This window comes from Homo sapiens, chromosome 9, assembly GCF_000001405.40.
Source record: "Homo sapiens chromosome 9, GRCh38.p14 Primary Assembly".
Taxonomy (NCBI): domain Eukaryota; kingdom Metazoa; phylum Chordata; class Mammalia; order Primates; family Hominidae; genus Homo; species Homo sapiens.
Window position 1 is genome coordinate 41,482,712 of NC_000009.12, and position 26,185 is coordinate 41,508,896.

A 26,185-nucleotide genomic window follows, 5' to 3' on the forward strand; every position below is an offset into this window, starting at 1 on the left:
TTCTTCAAAACAAATAGATTATTTTTAAAAAGATTACAACTATAGCAACTTCAGTCTCTCCTGTTTTATCTACTAGAGTGATTTGCTTCCTCTGCCTTTCTTAAAGTGATTGGTTAAAATGTTTTAGCACTTAGCAGTTTCTTCCTAGTTTTGCAGATATGGCCCTGAAATGGCTTATGAGTAAGGCAAATAGAGGATGTTCTTACTGGGCTAGTGCTTTTATTTCTCTCTTTCGCTTGTTCTATTTTTTAAGTGAAAATGGCATTAGCATCTTATTTGTCAGGCTTTCATTTTCGTGTTTGAGAATTCCACTTGTAGATAACCAATAGCTATAACCTGTTCAGGTCTTTAAAAATATAGCTTATTGAATGAGCAGTCACACACAAGAAATTCCGTTCTTCCCATAGTCCATCATGCTTTACCCGTATTCAGCTTCTCACTTCTGTATCTAAAAACACTAGATTTTATCATTCTACTTTAAAGTTTCTTTCTTTTTTTTTTTTTTTTTTTTACTTTTCCTAAAATACTCAAATTTCCATAAAGGAACAAGGGATAAAGCTTAAGCATAACTTCAAAAGAGACATAAGCGGGGTGAACAAGATCCAAACACAGGCTCTCTTGATGTAAAGATAGACCTTTAACCATGTGCAATCTGTCTATTAAGAAAATAGAGGACTCTAAACACAAAATTAAGAGTATAGTTGTCTCTGTGTGACTGAAAAAGAGTGAAAGATAACTGCAAAATTATTGATACTGTTCTTATGCTTAAATTGGGTTGTGTGCTTACATGTGTTCATTATGTTAATATGTCTCATAGGTTAGGTATCTCAATCAAATATGCAGTTATATAAATACAATACACTGAGATAAGATAACTAGCAACACGTTGAAACAAAAAAACAAGAATAGGATTGAATACTGTCACGATCTTTACAAGGCCTGGCCTTTCACTATGTAAATAGATATCTTTTAGTCCAAGAAATCACAGAACTTACACATTTTTAGGAAAAGAAGAAAAAATTCATAGAATAAATTAATTTTATGTCCTGTAAGCAAAAGTCTACTAAGGTGAATTCATAATATCCCATAACAGCAAAAATAATGCATTCAGAAGTCCTAAATCTATAAACAATAAAAATAGTTAAGCACATAGAATTTACTTAAGTTCAAAAGCATCATGTTCATTAGACTTATATAATTCTTGTAGCATTTAGTACATCCTGGATAATTCTTATTCCCATTATTTATTGCTAAGCACATTGAAATTTCACATTAATAATATTATTATTTTTTAACTTTCATTTGTATTGTAACTGTTGGTTTTAACTGATGAAGATGCAAAACAAAAATAAACATTCAGGTAAATAACTATTGTCTAGAAAGATCCAACCTGTAAGCTAGCAATATGGTTTGATTCTTTCTTTTAAAGTTATGTTATTATAAGTATATAAGCAATTCAGATAATAGATCCTGGGTTATGACGCATATCCTATTTGCATAAGCTTAATATATTTTAAAGATAACCAAAAAAGATAATGTATAATTAAAACTATAAATAAACACATTACTCAACATAATTACTCCTTAAATATTCAGTCCATTTAATATAGGTCTTCGCTGCCGTAAATGAACTCCCATGAGCTTCTAGAGGACTCGTTTTATTAAATGTTATAGTCTCTGGCTCTGACCAATCATAGCGCTGTAGACACTGTTATAAACAATGTAATAAGCTGCTAAAAAAGCAAGAGGTATTTTTTATTTTTTTGTAATTTGATTTTATTATCATGTTTTCATACCCACACAAAATAATCAATACATTAACATACAACCATCACACATATTCAACAATTATCATAATTTTGTTGTTTCTGCTTAAGGTATCCCTGTTCTCTTCTTGCCAAATTATTTTAAAAATATATCTCAGAGTGTAATTTTATACCTACATACTTAAGGATACATCTCTAGAAAATGCAGATATTTAGTAATACATTTTTACACAGTTAATTTATTTTTCTTCAGGATCTCAATTCAAATATTGTTTGTTATTAAAAAACTGTCTCTAGCATATGTTTTACTATATATTTAAGAATATAATTTGGAAAAAAAAGTCTGACACATAGTCCATGTTCAATTTACCTCTTCAACTAATCTACTAAAAGGAAAAAAATGACACCAATACTTCTTACTCTTCCCTGAAGTTATGTTATGATATTTTTAGATTTTGGAATCCTGTAAAGTGTGCCCATTATTGGTTTCAAGTACATGTTTCCTAACTCATTTCAATCTCTTCTATAATCAAGTGCAAGAGAAAATATAAAATAGGCCCTATGATTGTAGAAATAAAAGTGGAAAAAACTAGCCTAGAGTTCATAAAAGTAGACATATAAAAATCTTGAAATGATAAAGGCCATAATCAATTAATTGAAACTAAAATTATTCCTTTGAGTTATTTTTGGGTATTCTTCCAATTTTAGTTTTTTTGTTTGTTTGTTTGATGTTGCAAATATCACAGTGTATGCCTTTTTTTTTTTTTTTTTTTTTGAGACAGATTCTCACTCTGTCGCCCAGGCTAGAGTGCAGTGGCACGATCTCGGCTCACTGCAAGCTCCGCCTCCTGGGTTCACACCATTCTCCTGCTTCAGTCTCCCGAATAGCTGGGACTACAGGCGCCCGCCACCACGCCCGGCTTATTTTTTGTATTTTTAGTAGAGATGGAGTTTCACCGTGTTAGCCAGGATGGTCTCGATCTCCTGACCTCATGATCCGCCAGCCTCAGCCTCCCAAAGTGCTGGGATTACAGGTGTGAGCCACTGCGCCTGGCCAGTGTATGCCTTCTAAAAGCAGAGTCTGTAGAAAATATATATATAAATGGTAACACAAGCATATAAAATAAAATGTGGCAATTACTATTCAATGAAAAATACAGGGACATTTGGGAGAGCATAACAAATAAGGGATCAAATACGTGCTGAGATAAATACATTTTTGTTACATGAGTCAGGAGTTAAAGAAATAAATGAAAGATGAGAGATTAGGATATAAAGTATATAGGGTGCCAGTTCATATAACACTTTACATTAAAGGAATTTGAGCTTTTGTTTGAAACAATGGAAGCTATTGGGAGTTTTAAGGGGATTGATATGAAGGAGGTAAAATAGGAGTCTATAGCACTAATCTAAAGTGGTAAGTGAATGGAAGTCAAAGCTATTTAGTGGAGTAGGTTGAACCAAAATTGATGACTAAGTAGGTGGTATCTAAAGGAAAGGAAAAGTTTGAGTCTTGGGTATCTGGCATGCATAGTATACTAACAGTGATATACACAGTTACTTTCAGGCTCACTGAATGAGTTAGTGGTCAATGAAATACAGAACAAAGTCATGCAATTCACTTTCAAGTTGTGTTCTTGAAACTTCCCATGGCACCCATGAAGATTTCAAGAGTCATTTGTTATTATATCCCATCTTGACTAATACCAAGTTGTTAGAAAAAAATGAAATACTATTGTAACAATAAGCTAAAATAAGTGGTATTGTCTTAACGATGAGAAAGAGCATGAGGAAACTTAAGATCATAGATGATGAAAACTGTTTCCCCTATCTCCACTCCCAAGAAGGGAGAGGTTGGGATTATACAAAGTGATTAATCTATGTGTTCTTCCCAGAAAAAAAAAAGGCAGAGTTTAATCAAATAACTTTTCCAACCTTTAGTATATGGTTCATTCAAACTGTCTGACCTGTAGTGTTTCAGAATTACCAATGGTCAGTGGTTTCTATGTACTGTACCTTATATTTTGCCTTTCTAAATGGGCTATGAGCATTACATATCTTAGCTCATTTATCTTTTAAATAACTTTAAGAAGCTAGTATTATTATTAGCTTGATTTTGCTGGTGAGAACATTGAGATGTAGAGATTCAGAGTAGCTAGTGTTTGGTATAACTATGATTTAAATTTAGTTCTGTCTTATTATAATATTAAACAAGTATGTGACTTTGTAGTGTAATGAGTCTCATTCAAAACATACAGCAGTTGCAGCCTAACATCTTGTTACTTTAGGTGGTGACATAATGTATTGACTCATATTGAGCACTTCTAAGTGTAAGTTTTAAGTAGCTTTTTTTCTTTAGAAAGGTGCTGAAGATAATTCAAATACTTTTTTGCATATTATTTTGTGTCCCTGTAGATTGCTAGGACTATGAGGGCAGGGCCATATATATTGTGTTCATCTCTCTATATTCATTTTCTAATGCTGGTCCAAGAAACAGGTTGAGATGCTAAGTAGGGAGGCCGTAGAAAACATCATTGAAAAGATAGCATTTATGCAAAAATTTAAAGGTGGTGAGGGATTAAACATGTAGATATCTGAAGGAAGGGAACCCAGGCAGAGGGAAAAGACGGTGCAAAAGCCCAAGACAGCCCCATATCTGGCTTGTTTGAAGGGGTTCAAGGAAACCAGTGTGGCTGGAGATGAGTGAGGAAGGGGAGTTAACGATGAGCACACAGAAGTAATTTGGGCCTTGATATACGTTTTTAATTTTTAAAAATATATATTATATTTAAATGACATAATAATTGTACATATTTACAGGGTATTTTAAAACTCACACTGCCTTAGAATTTTACCATCAATGAAAGAGAGGGTCACTACAGGTCCTAAGAAGAGAAGTGACACGCTCTTTTATGTAAAAAGGATGACTGTGGATATTGTGTTGGTAACTGACTGTAAGAGGACACTTTTAGGAAAAGTCCCCTCTTTAGATATTGACTTTATCCAAGAGGAAAACAGTAGTAATTCACACCTCAGTAGACATGGTGAGAAGTAGTTGATTCTACATATTATAAAGTCTTTGAGTTTAAGCAACCAGAGGAAGGACTTGCCATCAAATGAAATGGATAAGCATAAACAGGTTTGGTAGTAGCTGGGAGATGGAAATCAACAATTTCTCTTGAGTCATACTTTCTTTGAGATTTCCATTAGGTATCTGAAGTAATCAGAAACTAGCCAGGAAAACTGAAATCATTGAGAATTTAAAACAAAGGGAATTGATACAGGTAATTGATGGTAGAAATAACTTTAAAAAAATTAAAGCCAACCAGGGGACAGTGAGGCAACCTACAATTTAGCAACAATGGGAGGCTACTATCACCTTCCCTTGGAGAACAGGGATAGGAGGCTGTACTACTGGAGCTGCAGGGAGGGATATTTGGGGGAAGCTGGAACCACAGTGGGCCTATGTAAAGGAGCAGGAGCCTGGAAAAAATGTAACTGTTATTAGGGATGACAGGGAGAAAATGAGACAATATCTAGATTTCTCCTTGTTCCTGCCTTTCATCTTTCTACATGTGTCTCCTATTGTTTGAGCCTAACTGGAAGCCAGCTTTCAGAAAATCTGAGCTACATAATCCACAGTGTTCATCCCCTCTGTCTTATGAACTGAACTGGGCAGAGTGAGGAATGGGTCTCAGGAAAAATAGACCCATTATCATCACGACATTCAGGTGGAAGTGTAAAAAATGCAATTGGATTTATGCGTGTGGAATTTGGGATAGAGATATGGCATGGAAATATAAATTTGGGAGTCATTAGCATTTACACTGCATGTAAAACCACGAGATTGGATGAGATAACCAAGGAAAGAAGTACAGAGAAAGATGATGGTGGGGGGAAATAAAATACTGAGGCCTGGAGCATTCCAACATTGAGTCTGAGGAATAGAAGAAAACACTAAAAGAGAGAGAGAGAGAGGGAGACAGAGAGAGAGAGAAGTATACAAATAATATAAAACCAGGGAGTCAAATGAAGATAGTATTATGAGAATAATCTACTTCAAATGCTGCTGATAAATCAAGTAAGGTGAGAAAAATAACTATAAGATTAACAAAGTGGAGGACAGGTTTAATTAGAGTAGTGGGGGGCAAAAATCTGTATGGAAATGAAATGATTAAAGAGAAAATGCAGGGAGCAAATGACACGGTGACTATAAATTATCCTTTTAAAGAGTTTTGGTGAAAAAGGGATCAAATTCCCTGGTGGTATCTGACAATGAAAATGGGGAAAATGAAGAATACTGGTTGCTTATTTGCTTTTATTTTCTAGTATGACAGAAGTAATAGCTTATTTGTATGATCATGAAATGACCCAATAATGAGGAAAATTTGATTATGTATAAGAGGGGTAAGTATTGAAAAGTATCTGTCTATAGCCTGTGTAGTCAGAAAGAGTTGATGAACAAGTAAAGGTGTAAGCTTGAGGTAGGTGTATAAACATTTCATTTCTGGCAGTGGTTTTCTTTAAGGAGAGATTTCACTCTGCAAGGAGCCAATTGGCAATGTTTGGAGATGTTTTCTGTTGTCACAACTTGTGAATGGAGTTACTACTAGCATCGAATTGGAGAGGCCAGGGATGTTGCTAAACATCCTGCAACATACAAGGCAACCTTTCCAACACCCCATCCCAAACATAGAATTATCTGGCTCAGTTTGTCCATAGTACCAGAGAAAAGACCCTGCTCTATTAATATGCAGGATGAGTAGTGTGTAATTTTAGATACTGGCGTTAAGTATATGTAGTAGTGGGAGTCTGCATACATTTCCTCTTCATTGTTATTTATCTATCTATGTATTTATTTTTTGACACAGGAAACAAGGTCATCAGCTGGCATTGAGATTGAAGAAAAGTATGTGAGGGGTGTGAAATGAGGAAAGAATCCATAAGTTAATCTTACATAAGAGGAAGAAGGCAATGGCTAACAAAAGAAAAATGGGCTTGTTTGGCCGCCTTAAAGGCACATTTGCTTTTCAAGGTTGTGGTTTTAAAGAGATAACAATCAACACAATTTTGTTGTGTGTTTTTCTCCCACTGCAGTTTGGGCATAAAAGCAATTCCAAAATTGATGGAGACATGCATGAAACTAAGGCTATCGTTTTGCTAAGTCAGTCATATTTAGTAGATAGAAATTTATTTGATGACCAAGGATGGCACAAAATGTTTAAAAGACTGAATATGTGACATAATAAAGCACATTTATGAAACAGTAAATTGCTTTTCATAAAGGTGGATTATTTGATGTATCTTGAAGAAGAAATAACAACTGTGAATCAAATATTTATTTATGAAATTGGCAGAGAGTAAATGATTAAAGTTTTAATGATCAGATTGTCATTTTAGAGTAATTATCATTATACAACAGCGAAGAAAAGTTGGAAGAAGTTAAATTATAGAAAAAGGATGCTATTGTTTTAAATTAATGCACTGGTCTAGCTGTGATTTCATTAAGATGATTTCATAACTGTAACAGTAACAATAGGAATATTGAGGACAAGAATGTTGAGGACAGGAATTAAAGAGAAATTTATTGGTTGAAATAAATTAGGTTTTTAGATTCATTATGATTAATGTTTAAGAAGGAATATATAATTTCTAGTCAACATATAATAATGCAAATTTAACACATAAGAAATATTGATAGAAAAAGGGTTCTACCTTAAACATATTGCTAGACCATGTGAGAGAGTTCTGTAGAATAGATTCAAGAATGGTGTGGAAAGGGGTGGTACCTCCTGATCAATTTTCTCCCCTGATGGGGGCAGGTGTGGAGGAAAACTCCTGGGAAATAAAGAAGTCAGGTGTTCTGGTTTAATTTTTCTGCAAACATATTAATGCAAGTCTCTTAGAAAATAAACTAAATAGTTTTTGGTAGCCAAAGAATCATTCCTCATAAAATGTTTCTAGCAGACCATGAGGAGTTGTCTAAAATTGCTTAAGAAAAATAAGCCAGGAATCAATAAATGTAGGGTGATGATTCCCAAGAAAATGTCACGTTAGCTGTGTTGCTATCTAAGTATAAAAGGAGATGGTTTGTAACTGAGAATACACCTGAGTAAGTAAAGCAACTGTACATTTTACTTAGAAACCAAATCTAGAAACTTGGATGAGACCACATTCAATGAAGATGAAAGGACACAGGTCTCTCCCCACTTAACCCATACATGATTATTTTATCTTTGAAATTATTCAGAAAGCATGATACTGAGCAAAATCTTCAATCTGAGTCCGATTTGACAATTCAATGCTTTTTGTGGGTTCAGATTGGCACTGAGAGCAGGATTGTCTTTTAGACCCACACACCAAAATAGTGAATGTTTTCTTTTTCTACCTGGGCTCCTTTTCAAAAGGAAATAATGGAAAAATATGAGAATTTGTTCTCAGGATAGTTGGCTGTACATTTTTGGTATGAGGTAGTGGAATCTTTGAGGCAGGTTAAGGGAAATAAGTCTTACCATTGAAATCTGGGGGCCATAGACTACAGTCTGGGAGTACGGGTCTAGGGAGTACATGGACAAAGGGAAATTGGGTACAAATCCCATTGACTGACTCCTGCTAGCATACTTGTAAAAGCTAACCTTTTAATAGGTTAGTTTTTAATAGGAGGAGATGATAGTGGGAGAAAAAGCTGCGAGATTACATTTTATTCACTGGAAAACCTTCTTATCCCTCCCTGGTTTCTTGGAGAAATTTCATGTATCCTTAGAAATGACTCAAAATATTGATTATTGGACAAACTATTTATGTAACCGGAGTCCAAGGACAGGTGATGAGTGAAAACTATATTTTATTAAAGAACAGAGTATTCACTAACAGAAGACTGGTGAATTAACATTGGCATGGATTCTTCAAATTAATGATGGAGGACATGTTGCAATTCTATTATTATCTGATGCAAAGGACTATTCATGGTCATGGCTAATCATTAAATGGCTGTAAACTTTTGAGAAAACACTTCCAAATACTGTGACAGCATATCGGCTGCAGTTGTTAAGGTGAGATTTGTCAGTCCTATACTGAGAAGGGTAACTGCTACTACTCCTCTCCAAATTGCCAATTGGATTCTCCTTTTCACATGATAGGAATGATACAAGTGTAAATGTTGACAGGCTTTATATTTTCCAGAGAGAAAACACCTTAGTTAATGCTATTGATACAAATAATAAGAGATAGAGTGAATGGGATAAGCTAATGATTCTCTGTCTTACAAGACTTATATAACCTTGAGGGCCAAATATATATATTCAGAGAACAGTAACAAACATACAGGTTTAGTTACTATACATGGGATTATATGGAGAAAAAGCATTTATATCATGTGCACAACAGGGAGAAATTAAAAATCAGAAGAGAAAATAGAAAGGCAGCTCACTTGAATTAATTTACTTTTGAAGAAAATATAAATAGGATTTAAAAAGTAAGCCTTGATAGAATTTTTAATAAGAAAATAAAAGCACATTATCAACTTTTGAATCAGAGGAGAGGAGTACTGTAGCCCCCACCAATCCCTTAAAGAATCATAGAAAATTTGCTTTATTTATTGTGGCTGAAAGAGTTCAAATCCAATTATGAGGATAGTGATATAGAACAGAACATACTTGAACAGGGGGCTGGGTTTACTGCCTTAATTAAAGCCGTAGAATCTGAAAACAATTAAATAAAGAACTGAGGTCTGGATCTGAGGCCATATATATAATTTGAACAAAGTTACCTGGGGTGGTATTCAAAGTTTCTTATCATTGGTAGGATGTAGAGCAGAATTTACAGTAGGCCTTATGGAAGGTAGGAAAGAGTCTCATACATGCTCTAAGTGAAATCTGGAGTGCATGAAGAGAACATCAGGGAGGAAACCAAGGTAAAGATGAAGTTACAGGTTGAAATGTGTGGTTGGAGAGAATATTACCTGCTTGTGCTACCTTTACATAAATACAAAATTGCAATTGTCATTCAATATGAATGGGACATTGTCGTCTTTGTGTTTCCACAGAGGATGAAGACTGAGCTCACTCTTCACCAAATTTTAATCAGCTATGCCAAATGGGATCCTTTGGAATTGCTCAAGCTCTCCACAGTAGTAAATATTAAGCAATGCAGAATTCCAAGGGCGCAATAAGAGACTACTGTTGTAATTAAGAAAATGGTTCAGAAGGAAGTTCCCCTCCCCACATTAACTTCCTTTTTGTAGTTCTAACTGGTCAATAAGTAGGTAGCCCCTGGACATTTACAGTAGAGTATCAAGGTGGTTCATTTGCATGCTTCATCTGTACCTGATATGATGAAGAATGTACAGAAAATAAAGTAGACAAGAGGCTCTGATATGTTATCAAGATTAACTACATAATTCATAGAGCTGAGTATAAAATGAAAATGCATGGATACTTACTCAAAAATTATTAAGAATTTCCAGATAGCTACAACAGAGCATTAAACCAATCTCAGGGGCCTCCTAAGAGTTTTTTTTTTGTTAATTTCAAGTAGGAAGATTTTAAGCTTTGCAGAATAGAAACAAGTATATGTTTACTGTCTTATCATGGATTTAAAAAAAATTCATTATCACATTTCCATAATCTGGTAAAGAATAACCTAAAAGATAGAGTTCATCTACTACTTTCATGGTATGATGATAATTTTCTTCTCAGAGCAAAAATTAGGAGAGGAGTTAAGGACCATAGTCACCCATATTACAAATAGAAGCTGGCTGATAAATCCAGCTAGAATTTAAGGCACAGCCCAAGGTGCAAATTAATTCCTGGAAATTAGTACAGATCAACTTAGGACATTCCTTAAACTCCAACTAAATCCTATAAATTAGTGCAGATCAACTTAGGACATTCCTTAAACTGTGAGAAGTAATTTATCTTTCATAGGACCCACCAATAAGCAATAAACTCAGAGACTGTCAAGACTGTTCTAAGAATCTTGTCTACCCATACTCACAAAATAACTGGAAAGAGTTCAGAACGTGAATACAGCATTGTAGTACTTTCCTAGGGCTGCTGGAACAAATTACCACAGACTGGGTAGCTTAAAACAACTGAAATTTATTATTTCACAGTTCTGGAGGCTAGAAGTCTGAAGCCAAGGAGTCAATAGGGTCACGCTTCCTTGAAAAGCCACAGAAAAAAATCTTTTCTTGCCCCTGCCTAGGTTCTACTCTCTCCTACAAATTTTTGGAGCTTTATTACTTATAGATTTATTACTCCAATTTCTGCTTTCATTTTCAATCTCTTCTCCATGTGTCCTCTCTTCTTATAAAAACACCTCCAGTCATTGGAATTAGGACCCTCCTTAATCTAGTAGGAGCTCATCTTAACTAATTATATGTGCAAATTTCTAAAGAAGGTCACCTTCTGAGATTCTGAATGAATAATAATTTCAGAAGAGCACTACTTAACTCACTGCAGGTACTGAACAGAAATAAGCATGAAAAGTATTGTGGTAGGTGGTAGCACAGGCAATAACATTAGGCCCTTATGATCCCATCCAACTGGTCAGATGATATTAGGGCATACCCAAACTAGAGCCCTTTAGGAAAAGTTAAATGAGACCACCAATTTAGACTCCTTAGGATTTTGACTCAAAATATGCCTGTGGCAGCTGTTTGCTATAATCCATTTGAAAGACACATGCTGTTGCACTGAATGACACAGCCAATGTCAACAGGAAGGACCAGCTACATAACTTCTGTAACCCAGTGAAAAATGAAAAGCAAGGCCCCTTGCTCAAAAATTATTAAGGGTTCATTTAGTGAAACCATTGCGTCCTGAGACTAATATGAGAAATAAATAACAAAATCCACTGTGCCTTACTAATATCAAGAGGTAGTAATGAGGGAGTGAAGGAGAATGCAATAATATATAACTTTATATCTTTCCCACCTCTAATACTTTTATTTGGCCTCTAATGGCGGTCTCAAACCCAGTTTTAAATTTACTTGCACCAGAGGAAGATTATACAATACCCAAGACATGATATTTGTGTCATTTAATTTGACTGTGCCTTTTCTGAAAGGTAATTTGTGGTGGATCAAAAGTTCCTTCCTATGTAACCAATTAGGGCTAAAGGTGAAGGTAGCTCCATTATCAAGCAGAGGAGAGACTTCTGAGGTCCTTTGTCTGTCACTTATAACATTTGTTTGACAACAAACCCCATGACACAAGTTTACCTGTGTAACAAATCTGCACATGTACCCATGAACTTAAAATAAAAGTTAAACAAACAAACAAATAAAACCCAAACATTTGTTTGGGTGTGCTAGTAAGGTTCTTGTTATTGATTGTGCGGGCAAACATTATGCATGATGAGTTATACAGCCTGATATTGGGAGGAAGCATTTGGAAATAGGGTAAAATCATAGCAGATGGGAAAGGTGTTTATAAGTAGATTACATTACCGTGGAGGGAAGCCACTACAATATTTTCATGCAAACAGCTCAGAGTGAGGATATCATACTTAACTATCTTTTGCTATTGTCATCCAAACAAATGGGCTTTGTTGGTGAAAATCTCTTGGCCTGCTTACTGCAGAAAAGGAAAATTGGACTCCTACTGATTTGGATGTTCTACCTGTATAATTTGAATAAAACAGATGACAAAGTGCCCCCTGACAACTCAGCTTGTGTGTAGTTGACTACAGTTATCACTCAGTTTCTAGGCTTTGTTTACCATTCTAGATTATTTTTTTCCAGAGAAACTACCAATGAATTGTACAGAGCAGAGGATGCTGTAGAATAGAATTTCTGCACCCTATATGGCCATAAATCAAAATGATACATTGCTAAGACAGCTCCCTGGTTATGATAGAAAGCAGATAGTGGCTGCCTGTCTGGTATGTCACAGCTTGATCTGGTCTGTTGCTTTGAACATATCAGTGTGAATGTAAATGGAATTAATTTAAATAATATAAAACTAGAACCTAGAAAGCCTCAGAGAATGTGATTTTATGTTTGCTTTAATGCTTTAAAATTATAAATAACTCCCTCAAGAGGTACGTAGAGGACATTTAAGGGAAGCCTATGGCACAGCCAGATAAAACGGTATCTGGTGCTAGGATATACCTAATTGAGAATTTCATGAAGCACATTATTTGTAGGTGTAGACAATGCTTTCAAACTAGACACATTTAATTAGCACATAATATGAACTACATGAGTGGCAAGTTAAGCAGCACTGGACCCTTTGCCAGGCATTTTGAAAGAATTACAGGATTTGGTCATGTGATATTAAATCTAATCGAAGTAGTGTTCTAGGAGGCCCATCATTATGATAAAAATGACTTGCTACTTCAAATAGGGACACTAGAGGAAGCTGTTTTTAGAGGACTCAGTTGTAGTAGGAAATCAGTTTGGTTTAAGACAATGCTTGAACTGAAGACACTGAATAAATAATGACTTCCATGCTTATTAACAACACTAGGATTAACTTTGTACCTTTAGTCAGGAAGGACTATTGGATATATTAATCACTATGGGATATTATGTCTTTAATGTTGAGTTGCAGGAATTCATAAAGAAACAAGCTCAACGTCGGGCGCAGTGGCTCACACTTGTAAAATCCCAGCACTTAGGTAGGCTGAGGAGTGTGGATCACCTGAGGTCAGGAGTTCAAGACAAGCCTGGTCAATATGGCGAAACCCCGTCTCTACTAAAAATACAAAATTAGCCAGGCATGGTGGCAGGTGCTTGTAATCCCAGCTACTCGGGAGGCTAAGGCAGGAGAATTGCTTGAACCTGTGAGGTGAAGGTTGCAATGAGCCGAGATTGTGCCACTGCACTCCAGCCAGGTGACAAGAGTGAAACCCTGTCAAAAAAAAAAAAAAAGAAAGAAAAAGAAAGAAAAAGAGAGAGAGAGAGAGAGAAAGAAAAGGAGAAAGAGAGAAAGAAAGAGAAAGAAAGAAAGAAAAAGAAAGAAAGAAAGAAAGAAAGAAAGAAAGAAAGAAAGAAAGAAAGAAAGAAAGGAAAAGAAAGAAAGAGAAAGAAAGAAAAAGAAAGAAAGAATTTGAAGAAGTAAAATTATGGGAAAAACGTGTTTAGTCTAAGTTACGGCAAGGTTTCACTGAACACTGTGACCTTCAGTGTTGCTCCCTGACAACCCTGGTAATATGGATGAAAAAGAAGTTTATCTCCCGTGTGTGGAATTCATAGAAAGTGGATGAATAAAGAACAATCCTTTGACATATGTAGGCCATGGGGTGTGGATGGGCTCTTTGACATAATGACCCCTGAAAATTAGTGTTTGTACCAACCTGGAATATACCTAAAATACAGTTCATAGAAACAAATTTTTTTCAGAAAATTTGATTTGAGAAGAAAAAATATGTATTCAATTAAATACTCCCATAGGCCCATGGAAAATGATGCAAATAATTGAGGTTGATGGAGGTAAAAGGTAATTGAGTTTGTGAATGAACATCAAGAGACTTGTAAAGGAAGATGTTAATGAGTAACATGCTTTGTGGAGGGAATTCCTACTCTCTGTTGGATGGTTCAAATCAAGGTCAGAGTATTAGTTGGCTTAAGTGAAACACTGCAGAAAATGGTGTAAGCCAATAATGATAATACACCAGCAATATTTGGCACTAAGATGTTGACCAAGGCCAGAGCAGATTGGGAAGGAAAGGGTCTTTGATTCTTTCTGATTACTGAGATGCCCTGCCAGGATCCACAGAAGGAAGGAAGCCCATTTTGCTTATATAAACATACTAATGACAGCTCCTGACAAACAATTTGTTTTTTTGCTGGCAGGAGAGTGATTATCTATCACAGAAATGCTTTTAGCAGAATGTACTTGGTCGTTTAGAATTGCTTATGGTTAACAAAGTAGAAGGTTGTGGATTTATGGGGCTCCCTGGAAAATGTCACATATACCACATATGTAACTATCTGCATAAAAATTAAGATATTTGATAATTGAGCCAGGTATCTCCATGTAAATAAATTGTCGGCATACCTCTCTAGAAGTCTCATCTATCTGCCTGGGCAAGGGAGTATCTAATGACAGAACCAAGGATCTAAAGAATCAGATTAAGAGATCTAAATAATTCTCTGATTTGCCCATGCCTAATGATTACCTGAGTTCGTGAAATTACTAGTAAAGCTTTATATTTTGTAAGATCTTAGATTCTGATAAGTCTAATGTCACAATCCAATCAGTTTTTCCTATCTCAAGGAATCATGTCCATATAATGGAATTAATCCTGAAACTCTGAAAAGTTTTAATATTCTGGGGTCAGGGTAGATGAGAAGGAGTCTCCATATGACTTATAAACATGTAAGGAGAAATAGTAAAATTGTTGTAAAATTAAAAGAAGAACAGAAATTCATAAAATAAGCTATAACAATCAGGTTAAACAACAAAAACAAAAAGCAAAGCGTCTATCAGTAACATGATTGAATAGAAGAGCCGAGAGAGAGTTGTCAGTGGTAAAGGAATAAATATTATCTCATTTGATAGAGTGATTGTATTAGTCCATTTTAACACTGCTGATAAAGACATACCCATGACTGGACAACTTACAAAAGAAAATGGTTTATTGGACATACAGTTCCACATGGCTGGGGAGGACTCACAATCATGGCAAAAAGGAGCAAGACACATCTTATGTGGGTGGCAGCAGGCAAAAAAAGAGCTTGTGCAGAGAAAATCCTGTTTTTAACACCACTAGATCTTGTGAGACCCATTCACTATTATGAGAACAGCATGGGAAAGACCTGCCCCCATGATTCAGTCTTCTCCCATCAGGTCCCTCCCACTACATACAGAAATTATGGGAGCTAGAAGATGAGATTTGGATGGGGACACAGAGCCAAACCATGTCATTTCACTCCAGCCCCTCCCAAATCTCATATCTGCATGTTTCAAAACCAGTCATGCCTTCCCAACAGTCCCCCAAAATGTCAACTCTTTTTAGCATTAACTCAAAAGTCCACAGTCCAAAGTTTCATCTGAGACAAGGCAAGTCCCTTCCACCTATGACCCTGTAAAATCAAAATCAAGTTAGTTATTTCCTAGATACAATGGGGTTACAGGGGTACAGGGATTGGGTAAACGCAGCCATTGCAAATGGGAGAAATTGGCCAAAACAAAGAGGCTACAAGCCCCATGCAATTCTGAAATCCAGAAGGGCAGTCAAATCTAAAGCTCCTTTGACTCCATGTCTCACATCTAGGTCACGCTGAGGCAAGAGGTGGATACCCATGGTCTTGGGCAGTTCCACCCCTCTGGCTCTGCCGGGTACAGTCTCCCTCCTGGCTGCCTTCATGGGCTGGTGTTAAGTGTCTGCAGCTTTTCCATGCACACAGTGCAAGCTGTCAGTGGATCTACACTTCTGGGGTCTGGAAGACGGTGGCCCTCTTCTCACAGCTCCACTAGGTGGTGCCCCAGTAGGGATTCTGTGTGGGGGCTCCCTCCCCACATTTTCCTTCTGCACTGCCCTAGCAGAGGTTCTCCATGAGGACCCCACCCATGTGGCAAACTCCTGCCTCGGCATTCAGGCGTTTCCATACATCTTCTGAAATCTAGGCAGAGGTTCCCAAACCTCAATTCTTGACTTCTGTGCACTCGTAGGCTCAACACCACATGGGAGATGCCAAAGCTTGGGGCTTGCACCCTCTGAAGCCATAGCCTGAGCTCTATGTTGTCCCCTTTCAGCCATAGCTAGAGTTGCTGTGATGCAGGGGATGAAGTCCCTAGGCTGCACACAGCAAAGGAACCCTGGGCCCAGCCCACAAAACCACTTCTTCCTCCTAGGTCTCTGTGCCTGTGATGGGAGAGGCTAAGGTCTCCACCTTTGACATGCCCTGGAGACATTTTCCCCATTATCTTATGCAAATGTCCATAGTTGGCTTGGATTTCTCCTCAGAAAATGGGATTTTCTTTTCTATTGCATTGTCAGGCTGCAAATTTTCCAAATTTTTATGCTCTGCTTCCCTTATAAAACTGAATGCCCTCAACAGCACCGAATTCACATTTTAAGTGCTTTCCTGCTTAGAAATTTCTTCTGCCAGATACCCTAAATCATCTCTCTCAAGTTCAAAGTTCTACAAATCTATAGGGCCGGGCAAAATGCCACCAGTGTCTTTGCTAAAATGTAGCAAGATTCACCTTTACTCCGGTTCCCAACAAGTTCCTTATCACCAGCTGAGACCACTTCAGCCTGGATTTCATTGTCCATATCACTGTCAGCATTTTGTTCAAAGCCATTCAGCAAGTCTCTAGGAAGTTCCAAACTTGGCCACATTTTCCTGTCTTCTTCTGAGTCCTCCAAACTGTTCCAACCTCTGCTTGTTACCCAGTTCCAATGTCGCTTCCATATTTTTGGATATGTTTCCACCAGCACCCCACTCTACTGGTAACAATTTACTGTATTAGTTCATTTTCATGCTGCTGATAAAAACATACCTGCAACTGGGCAATTTACGAAAGAAAGTGGTTTGTTGGACTTACAGTTCCACATGGCTGGAGAGGCATCATAATCATGGTGGAAGGCAAGGAGTAAGCTACATCTTACATGGATGGCAGCAGGCAAAAAAGAGATTGTGTGGAGAAACTCCCATTTTTAACACCATCAGATCTCGTGAGATCCATTCACTATCATGGGAACAGCATGGGACATACGTGCCCTCATGATTCAGACATCTCCCACTGGATCCTTCCCATAACACGTGGAAATTATGGGAGCTACAAGATGAGATTTGGGTGAAGACACAGAACCAACCCATATCAGTGATTATTTAAGATTTTTTGCAGAAGCCTAACTGTTCAAGGAAGGTGTGTGATGGCAAAGAATAAAAGCTACAGATAATGACATGGCATCAGCTTGATTGGATCCATATTTTGTGGGATCTACAGCACATTCAATTTGGCGGTCAGGGTTTGGGGCTCTTTAAGCAAGAATACAAAACTACAAACTCAAAACTGGAAACTCAAATGCAAATGAGGTGGCCGGAAATGTAAGCCTCATAACTTAGGATAAGAGAACAAAAGCTGATAAACATTTTCTATAAAGGGCACGATAGTAGATACTTTAGGCTTGCAGGCCATATTATTTGTGTTGTAAATATGCAACTTTGCCTTTGTAGTGCTTAAGCAGCTGTAGGCAATATGTAAAGGAATGTCTGTGGCTGAGTTCCTATAAAATTTTATTTATAAAAACCCGTGGCAGCCTGGCTTTGGCTCATTGGCTATAGTTTGCCTACCCCTGGCTTAATAAATCTGCCTCTATTCATAAGTAAGATTCTGCTTGTGTTTTGACTTTGCCATGTGCTCAGGGAAGGTAAGTAAAATTAAAATGTCTAGGAGAAGAAAGTGTAAATAACAACAAATTCCTGTTGGCAACGTATTTATGAATATGGAAGAAGAGATGCCCTCTTATCCTGTGAGATGGAAAGAAAAAAAGCCAAGAATAAATACAAATTAAAGCAAGCAAGTCTAAAATAAGAGAATTAACATTATTCTGGGAAGTAGAAGACAAAGTACTTCTGCTAGGAATGGGAAGACCAAATATGGACTGGAGTATTTGAAAACTCGGTGGATATTTGGAATATCTGTTGTGGACAAAAAAGAGACAGAAAAAAGGAAGAGATCAAAAAGTCAAGTAATTTGAAGTGATTATAGGGAAAAGTGATCTGGACACACAGTTTGTGTCATTCACAAAAGCATCTGACCAAGAGAGTAAACTCTGCCCTGTGGTCAACAGTTACTATTAAAATTTCATCATTCAGATTCAGGGCTTATTTCTAGTTGATACAAAAGTGGAACATTGCCCTACATAATGTTATACTTTTTGTTATTCAGAAATGTTGAAGTTTCTATGCATGAGGTTTTTGTTATTTGACATAATGATTTATTTCACTCATTGTGTTTATCTTATCCAGATTAGATAGAAATTAACCAATTTTAACTTTCTGTTTGTTCTGTATGTTTTAGTAACAAGTAATTCAGGAGTGCATGCAAATGCAACATGAAATGAACAGACGATAAAATAGAGTATATCTGCATAAAGACTTTTCATATGTTATAATAAACAGTATCAAAAACATTATTTGTCTTAAACTGTTTAAAAAATGCCAGTATAAGTCATTTTTAACCTAGTATCAAAATCGTAATCATGTGAAAAGTAAATATTTCTTTAAGTTTTGTAAAATATTTGATGTAGAATATTTAGCTCCAAATTAATTAGGAGAATTTCATAGTGTCTTATAATTAAGCTGCCCTTAAATACACCTGAACCTTCATGCAAACGTCTGTGGTTATTTGTCTCCACATGTTTCAGCAGATGAGGTGATTTGAATGCAGCAAAAAATTTAATAGCTTAAGTTGAAACAGGAATTATCCTAAGGGAATCTGTAGAAATGCATTCAAGAGCAGATGAGCTGTATCTATTTCTTTCATGCTTTGGTGTAGTAAGTAATTGTTCATAGCCAAACACTTTACGAAGATAAATGATTGATATAATGAATGACCCGAAGATGCCCAAGAGCACATGAAAACAGAAATGCCTTTGTTCTGAAGGAGAATGTCTTAGTATAGTTATAAATTGAATGTAAAAATTGTGGCTGAAATTATTCTAAAAATCACAAGAAGCTGCATTTAAACTGTGCTATGGCATCTATTCAAAAGATTTGAAACCATTTGTTTTCTGAATTGCACCCAACATAAAGCTTTCTCACACAGAACAAAACAGAAGTGAGCATCAGTCACACTTCCAACATGCATACATTTTGCTCTAAAGGAACAGCTGTTACTTGATGAAAAGTCGATGAAAGATGCCCAACATTTGTTTTTAAAAAGTTATCACCCAAACAAGAATTGTTTGGAACCAGATGCTAAAATCGAGAGTGGTCTGTTTATTTCAGTTCAGAGTGTTATAAAAATGTTAATAAGGTATTTTTATGTCTATTACCCAGCTATATTTGACTTTTTAATGTGCTTTTTGTTATAATTGGCTGTTGTTTCTATAGGCTGGCATTATTGGCATTAGATCACTGAAGAGTAAATAAAGTGAGCAAGAATACTCTCTTGTCACCAGATTACTGAGGTGTACTGGAAGTAGGTTGAATGGTTTTACAGATGAATTACAGTGAAAACTTTGAAACACTAATAATCTCTTCGGTGTTGAGAAATAACCTACTAATCATTAACTTAATAATTATCAGCTCAACCAGGAAACTACACCACCTAAAAGGTAGTTAATTTTATCACTCCTAGACATCTACAGGAGACCATGATTCTCCATTATGTGAATGCCTTGCTGCCCATGTGATGCCTGCCCCCATCAATTCTAAGAAGCTTCAGTCATTTAGTACTTAATATGTAATTTTTAAAAATTACATAAGTAACACCTTCTCCTTATAGAGAACTGAAACTTTCAGAAACAGTTAAAGCCTAATTTGAATATTGCCAAAGCCCTGTCTCTTCTTCAGAGACAACCAGTGTTTCCAGTTTGGTGTGTATTTTCCCCAAATACAGTGAATGTGTGTATAAACACGTGTAGATTTACCTGTCCTAGATATGAGCATTTGCTTTGTGAGTCTGCTTTAAGTCAAGTTCTAAACTATGGCTCAGTTTAAAACTTCTCTTTTTCTATTTAATAATATACCTTAGAAGTCATGCCATGATATTAAGATGAATAATAATGAAATTATTAATATTAGTCAAATTTAATTAGTTGCTTATTACGTAGTGGGTACTTGGTGTGATATATGGATTATCTCATTTAATCATCATGACATGCTAATAAATTGGCAATGCTGTTATCTCCATTTTATGGAAGAGAGAAAAAGATTGTAAGTACTTTGCTCAAGGTCATTTGGAGGGAGAGCAAATTATTCAAATCCAGATATTCTGCTCTCAGAGATTGTATTATTAACTATTATGCCACAATAGAGGCATTGTAGTCTGCATGATAGTCCAACTATTTTTATTTGTAGTTATATATTGATGAATATCTAGAGTATTTTTAAAAATTACAACACAATACTGCAATTGACATTCTTGCATGATTATCTACCATGTATTTCCAAAAGTGGAAAGGCAAACATATGTGTTTAGTTTTTACAGAATGTAGACTATATAACAATTGTACTCCAAAGGAGATCTTGGTTACATTGATACCAGCATAGTTTGAGCCTACCCTCTTCCCTGTACCCTCAAAACCCTTGTTAACATCTTATGTTTTGCCAGTCTGCTGAAGAAAAAATGGTATCCAATTGTTTAATTCAATTACTTGATTATTAGTGAAGTGAGAATTTTTTTATATTTATCATAATTTGTATTGCCTGTAATCTGAAAGGGTTATTCATATTTTTTTGCCTACTTTTCTATTAAGTCATGTCTCTCTAAGATCTAGCTTAAACGTTACTTTTTCCAAAAAACCTTCCCTGATCTCCCACAACTCAAAACATTATCTTCCTACTTTAGTTTCTTACAATATTTTATCTACATTTCTCTTATAACACCACTTTCTACTTTGTATGATTGTTATTTTAGTACTATCTAATCAGTCCTTTAATTTCCTTTGGGGACTATTTTATGGTGATTAATCCTTATGACACATATTGTCCACATTTTTTGGACAAAATTCTTCAATGAAGATTGATAATTAAAATTAATAAAAATTAAATTAATTAAAAATTTAATTAACTTAGCTTTTAATTTTTTAATTATCATATAGGCCACCTACTGAGATATACAATTTTTGGTCTAAAGTATTACTTTGAAACAATTATAAGAAAACAATTATAAGAAAAAAAATTTTTATTATTCTAAGATCCTTCGGATTGGAAAGTTGCTTGTTCTATATAACAAGATTTACTCTTTCCATACATTCTAGGATAAATTCATCATCTCTCTAAAAATTTCCTAATTTTTGTCATTCAGAAAAATAGCCAATTCCTGTCCTTCATTAAATTTTAATGAATAATCAGTCAATTATAAAACTCTTGAAAAATTCATATTAAAAAGGAAACATTTATATTATTAAAAAATAATAATTACAAAATGCCCATATAAATATTATTTAGGGCCAGGCACACTGGCTCACACCTGTAATCCCAGAACTTTGGGAGGCTGAGGTGGGCAAATCACTTGAGCCCAGGGTTTGAGACCGGCCTGGGCAACATGACAAAACCCTGTCTCTACAAAAAATTTAAATATTAATCAGATGCGGTGGTGTGCGCCTATAATCCCAGCTACTCAGGATGTTGAGGTGGGAGTGATGGGGTGGGAGTGATAGGGAAGGGAGGCAGGGAAATTCTGGGCAAAAGAGGGCAGGTCCCTGGCAACGGCTCCACCCTCAAGCCTGGAACCAAAGCCCAAAGTGAGAACATACATTCCTGTTTTCCCACTCAAATGTTGCCTTTTACAAAATTACCCATGACCTCCCCTGTCCCCCATCCTGTGCCCATAAAAACCCCAGACTCAGCTAGCAAAAAAGAGAAGCAGCTGAACATCAAAAGAGAAGCAGCAGCTGGGCATCAGAGACTACGGTTGGACGTTGGAGAGAAGCAGCTTGATTTCAGAGAGACAGCTTGACAGTGCAACTTTGGAGAAGAGTCCAGCCAGAAACCTTCCTGCTACATCTCCTTCCCAGCTGCCCTTCCTGCTGAGAGCCACTTTCCTTGGCAATAAAATCCTCTGCATTTACCATCCTTCAATTCGTTTCTGTGAGCTGATTTTTTCCTGGATGCCAAACAAGAGCTCAGGAGTGAGTGTGGATACAAAAAGGCATGCTGAGCTGCTAACACTTCAGCTGTCTGAAGACGGCAGAGCTAAAGGAGCACTGTAATATGCCCACAGGGGCTTCAGGAATCACAGGCACCCCCCTAACCCCAGGGGCTGCTATGGGGCCCACATGGAGTTTGCTCCTGCCAACACCCCAAAGCTCTCTTCCTGGCTCCTGTACCTGCTCACCTGCATGCTCTCTCCTGCAAGAGGTGGAACACAGCAGGTCAGAGTGGGTGAGTTCACTCCTTCTGGCACCAAAGAGGCCACTGGTTCCAACACTCGTGTACTCCAGTTCCTGCCTTGTTCAATTGCGCACTCCCTCCCTTGAGGAGTTGAGAGCAGTGGGCTGAGTAAATGGGGCACCCCTGTCACGAGTCCCATGAAGGGGTCAGGGAAATACCCTGCTTCAGGAGGATCTCTTGAGCCCAGGAGGTGAAGGATGCACTGAGCCAAGATCGTGCAACTGAACTCTGGCCTGGGTGACAGAGTGAGACTCTGTCTCAAAATAAATAAATAAATAATTTAATTAATTAAATTTAGCTTATTCTTTTGAACTTCATTCTTCATAGTGTTATAAAATACATGATTTAAGACAGTGAGAAAGAGAGAGAAGCCAATGATGGACTTCTAATAGAATTCAGAGTGGGACTTGTTTGAACATTTCAGCCAAATAAAAGATTCCCGCAATTAGTTGACTCTTCAGTCCACCTCAGTTTTAAACATGTCTCAGGTTGCCCTTAACTAACGAGTATAGTTTACTTTGGGCTGATAAATTCTGTGGATGGCAAGAGGTTGTGAATATCCCTTTATAAACCCAGAACTAATGCTACATATCCCTGGCATTAGTGCCTTATTTATCTAAACTTACAAATATATTGGGCAAAATTCCGGGATATGGGCACAGAATTAATAATTGAATACCTTATTTTGTATGGTCATTTGCTCACTGACAAAGATAGAGAAGCAGCTGAAATTCATGATTATGATCCCTAGTTACATCTCTCTTTAAGTCCTTATGTTTGGTTCCCTGGGAGTTTCAGCGCATTTATATAGCAGCACCCAAGTTTTTATAATCTGTTAAGTATTACTATCTAGGATTAGCTACTGAAGAATCAAGAACCGGTAGTTGATGAACTTGAAAGACAATTATCCTATATAGTGTTTCTTGAGGACACTAATTTCTTAAGATAGAATGAGAGGAAAACATAATATCCACAAACAGAAATAAATTTTGGAATATTATATGCTTTAGCTTCCTCTTGGATATTTACAAAAATATTAGCATATTAACGATTACAGAATGAAGAAACCTTTTTAGCTACATTTAAACTAGTCCTAGAGTTTGAATATATTTCCTCCAAATTCATGTTTAAGTTTAATCCTCAAAGTGATGAGGAAGTGGGGCCTTTGGAGGCAATTAAGTCATGATGGCTGTGCACTCATAATGAGATTAATATCCTAATTAAGGAAGCTTCTGAGAGCTTCCTGGCTCTTCCATTTCTTCTGCCATGTGACAACATGGCATTTGTCCATTTTGTCCCTTTGCTTTTCCTACCATGTGATTAAGTCATGCAAAATGACATCTATGAAACAGGCCCTCATCAGACAATGAATATGTTGGTGCCATAATCTTGAACTTCCCAACTCCTGAACTTTCAGAAATACATTTCTGTAATCATAAATTACCCAGTTTGTGGTATTTGTTATAAGACCAGGAACAGACTAAAACAGCAAATGCTTTCCCCCATCCCTGACTACTTTCAGAATGTTTAAGAGTTGTCCATACCGTTTCTTATGGCAATTATGAGGCAGATATTTTTCAGGAAAGTGGCATGCATATATGTGAATTTTTTTAGAGGAGTTGAAAAACAAAACAAAACACTTGTTTGGCAATGTTCATTCCTCACAGAATCAGTGCTATTCATTTTGGAAAATATCTTAGTATCCTGCTTGTTGCCTTATTAGTTGTTTTTCTCTCATTGCAATCAGCTGTTGCCATGTACCTTTTGCATTTGGTGGTCAGGGTCTTCGGAATCGTATGAATCTGATATCAAATCCCAGTTGTATTGCTGACTAGCTGTGAAAAAAGATTTTAAACTTATTATTTTCAGTTTACTCATTTATTAAGTACCAATATTAATATTGAAACTAGAGAAATAGATTAAATGGCATACTTGTATAGTAATTGTTACATAGGAAAACTCTCAATAAATCAATGCTGTTATTATTACCATTAATATTCCCTAGATGTGAAGATTGTCTTCAGAGGAAACATACTGGAAAAAAAAAAATGAGTTTTACAGAAGTTTTTCAGCAGAAGTTGATTGGTTTTACACACACACACACACATACATGCACACATATTTTCACACATATAAATATGTATATTTTACATATATATATGCACACGCATTTGTTTCTATTTAAAATGAAAAAAGTATGTTAGTCATGTGTGCCCAATTTTCTGATACACTAAAAAATGGAAATATCTTGGCAGACACTATTGATAGGCTATGCAAATGTAAACTTCTCTTCCTAGTTTTTTATTTGGAAAGTAAAATATCCATGTTTCTTAGTGTGGCCATGTGAATTTTGTGACATTGAAATGGATATCATAAGATAGGTTCCCGGTAAAGCCTTTAAAAAAGCACAAACTTGGCCTGCATGGCTTTGGCCTTTTGCCCCTTTGCCCTTTGCTGCTTCAGCCTTTCCTATTTTTCTTGGCTGCAATATGAGCAATCATGTCTCAGGGTGCTACAGGCATCATGCTATCTTATAGCATACCTCTTTCTAAGGAAATGCTATTAATGTCCCTGCATGTGTATAACAAATCTTCAGCGTCCCTGTGTGGCTGCTCTTCTTATCCTGTCCTGGCTTGTACTCCTGTCTTTTGTAGAAGTAAGTAAACATCTTGCCGGTGAAAACTGCTTTTAGTTGCACCCTGTATTCCTTATAGCTAAACCCTATCTACCTGAAACCTATATTGATACTTATGCCATATATTTAGTTTGGAGACCAGATTAAATTTAGAGTTCCATTAATTCCATAGTAAATATTTTTGAGTGGCTAGTATGGGTAATGTGATATTTAAGCTACTGGCATAGTGTGGTAAACCGAAGATATGACCTGAAATGTTTGTAACTTATATGATAATAAGTGGAGAGAGCTGAAAATTAGGTAAATAAATAGATAACCACAGATTTTGATCTGTTATACAAATACGATAAATATGGCAGGAAGGACTGTAAGCTACGGAGTAGAGTAAGAGAAAGCAATTATAAAAAGATTGGCAACTAAATGTTATCTAACAAGTGATACTTAAAGGCTGAGATACTTTAAACTATAAGACACAGTTTTGTAAAAATCTTGGAAATTGTGTTTTTTAAGTTAATGGTGCAATTTATCTAATGTGTAAATACAAGTGCTGGTTTGTTGAAGGAGCAGAAAAAAAAAGATTAGTTTGAGTATGGGGAAAGAGAAGGAGATTGGAGAGAGGTTTAAGAACTAAGCATATGCCAGTTTATATAGAGTTTATGTAACAAAGAAGAGATTTTTTGTATATCAGGTTGTATTGTTGCATAATACTATACCCCAAACTTACTGGTATAAAATAGTAAACTTGTATTATGCTCACAGGTT

At 36.2% G+C, this 26,185-nt stretch overlaps 1 long non-coding RNA gene across 5 annotated transcripts in view; it reads right to left on the minus strand.

Moving 5' to 3' along the window:
* Positions 1-476: 476 nt before the first annotated feature.
* Positions 477-26,185, minus strand: part of LOC105376065 (uncharacterized) — an 82,523-nt gene continuing 56,814 nt past the window's right edge. For all 5 annotated transcript variants that reach the window (XR_007061516.1, XR_007061515.1, XR_007061518.1 and 2 more), the window contains exon 3: positions 477-24,623. This is a non-coding gene — a long non-coding RNA (uncharacterized LOC105376065). The remainder of the gene's footprint in view (positions 24,624-26,185) is intronic.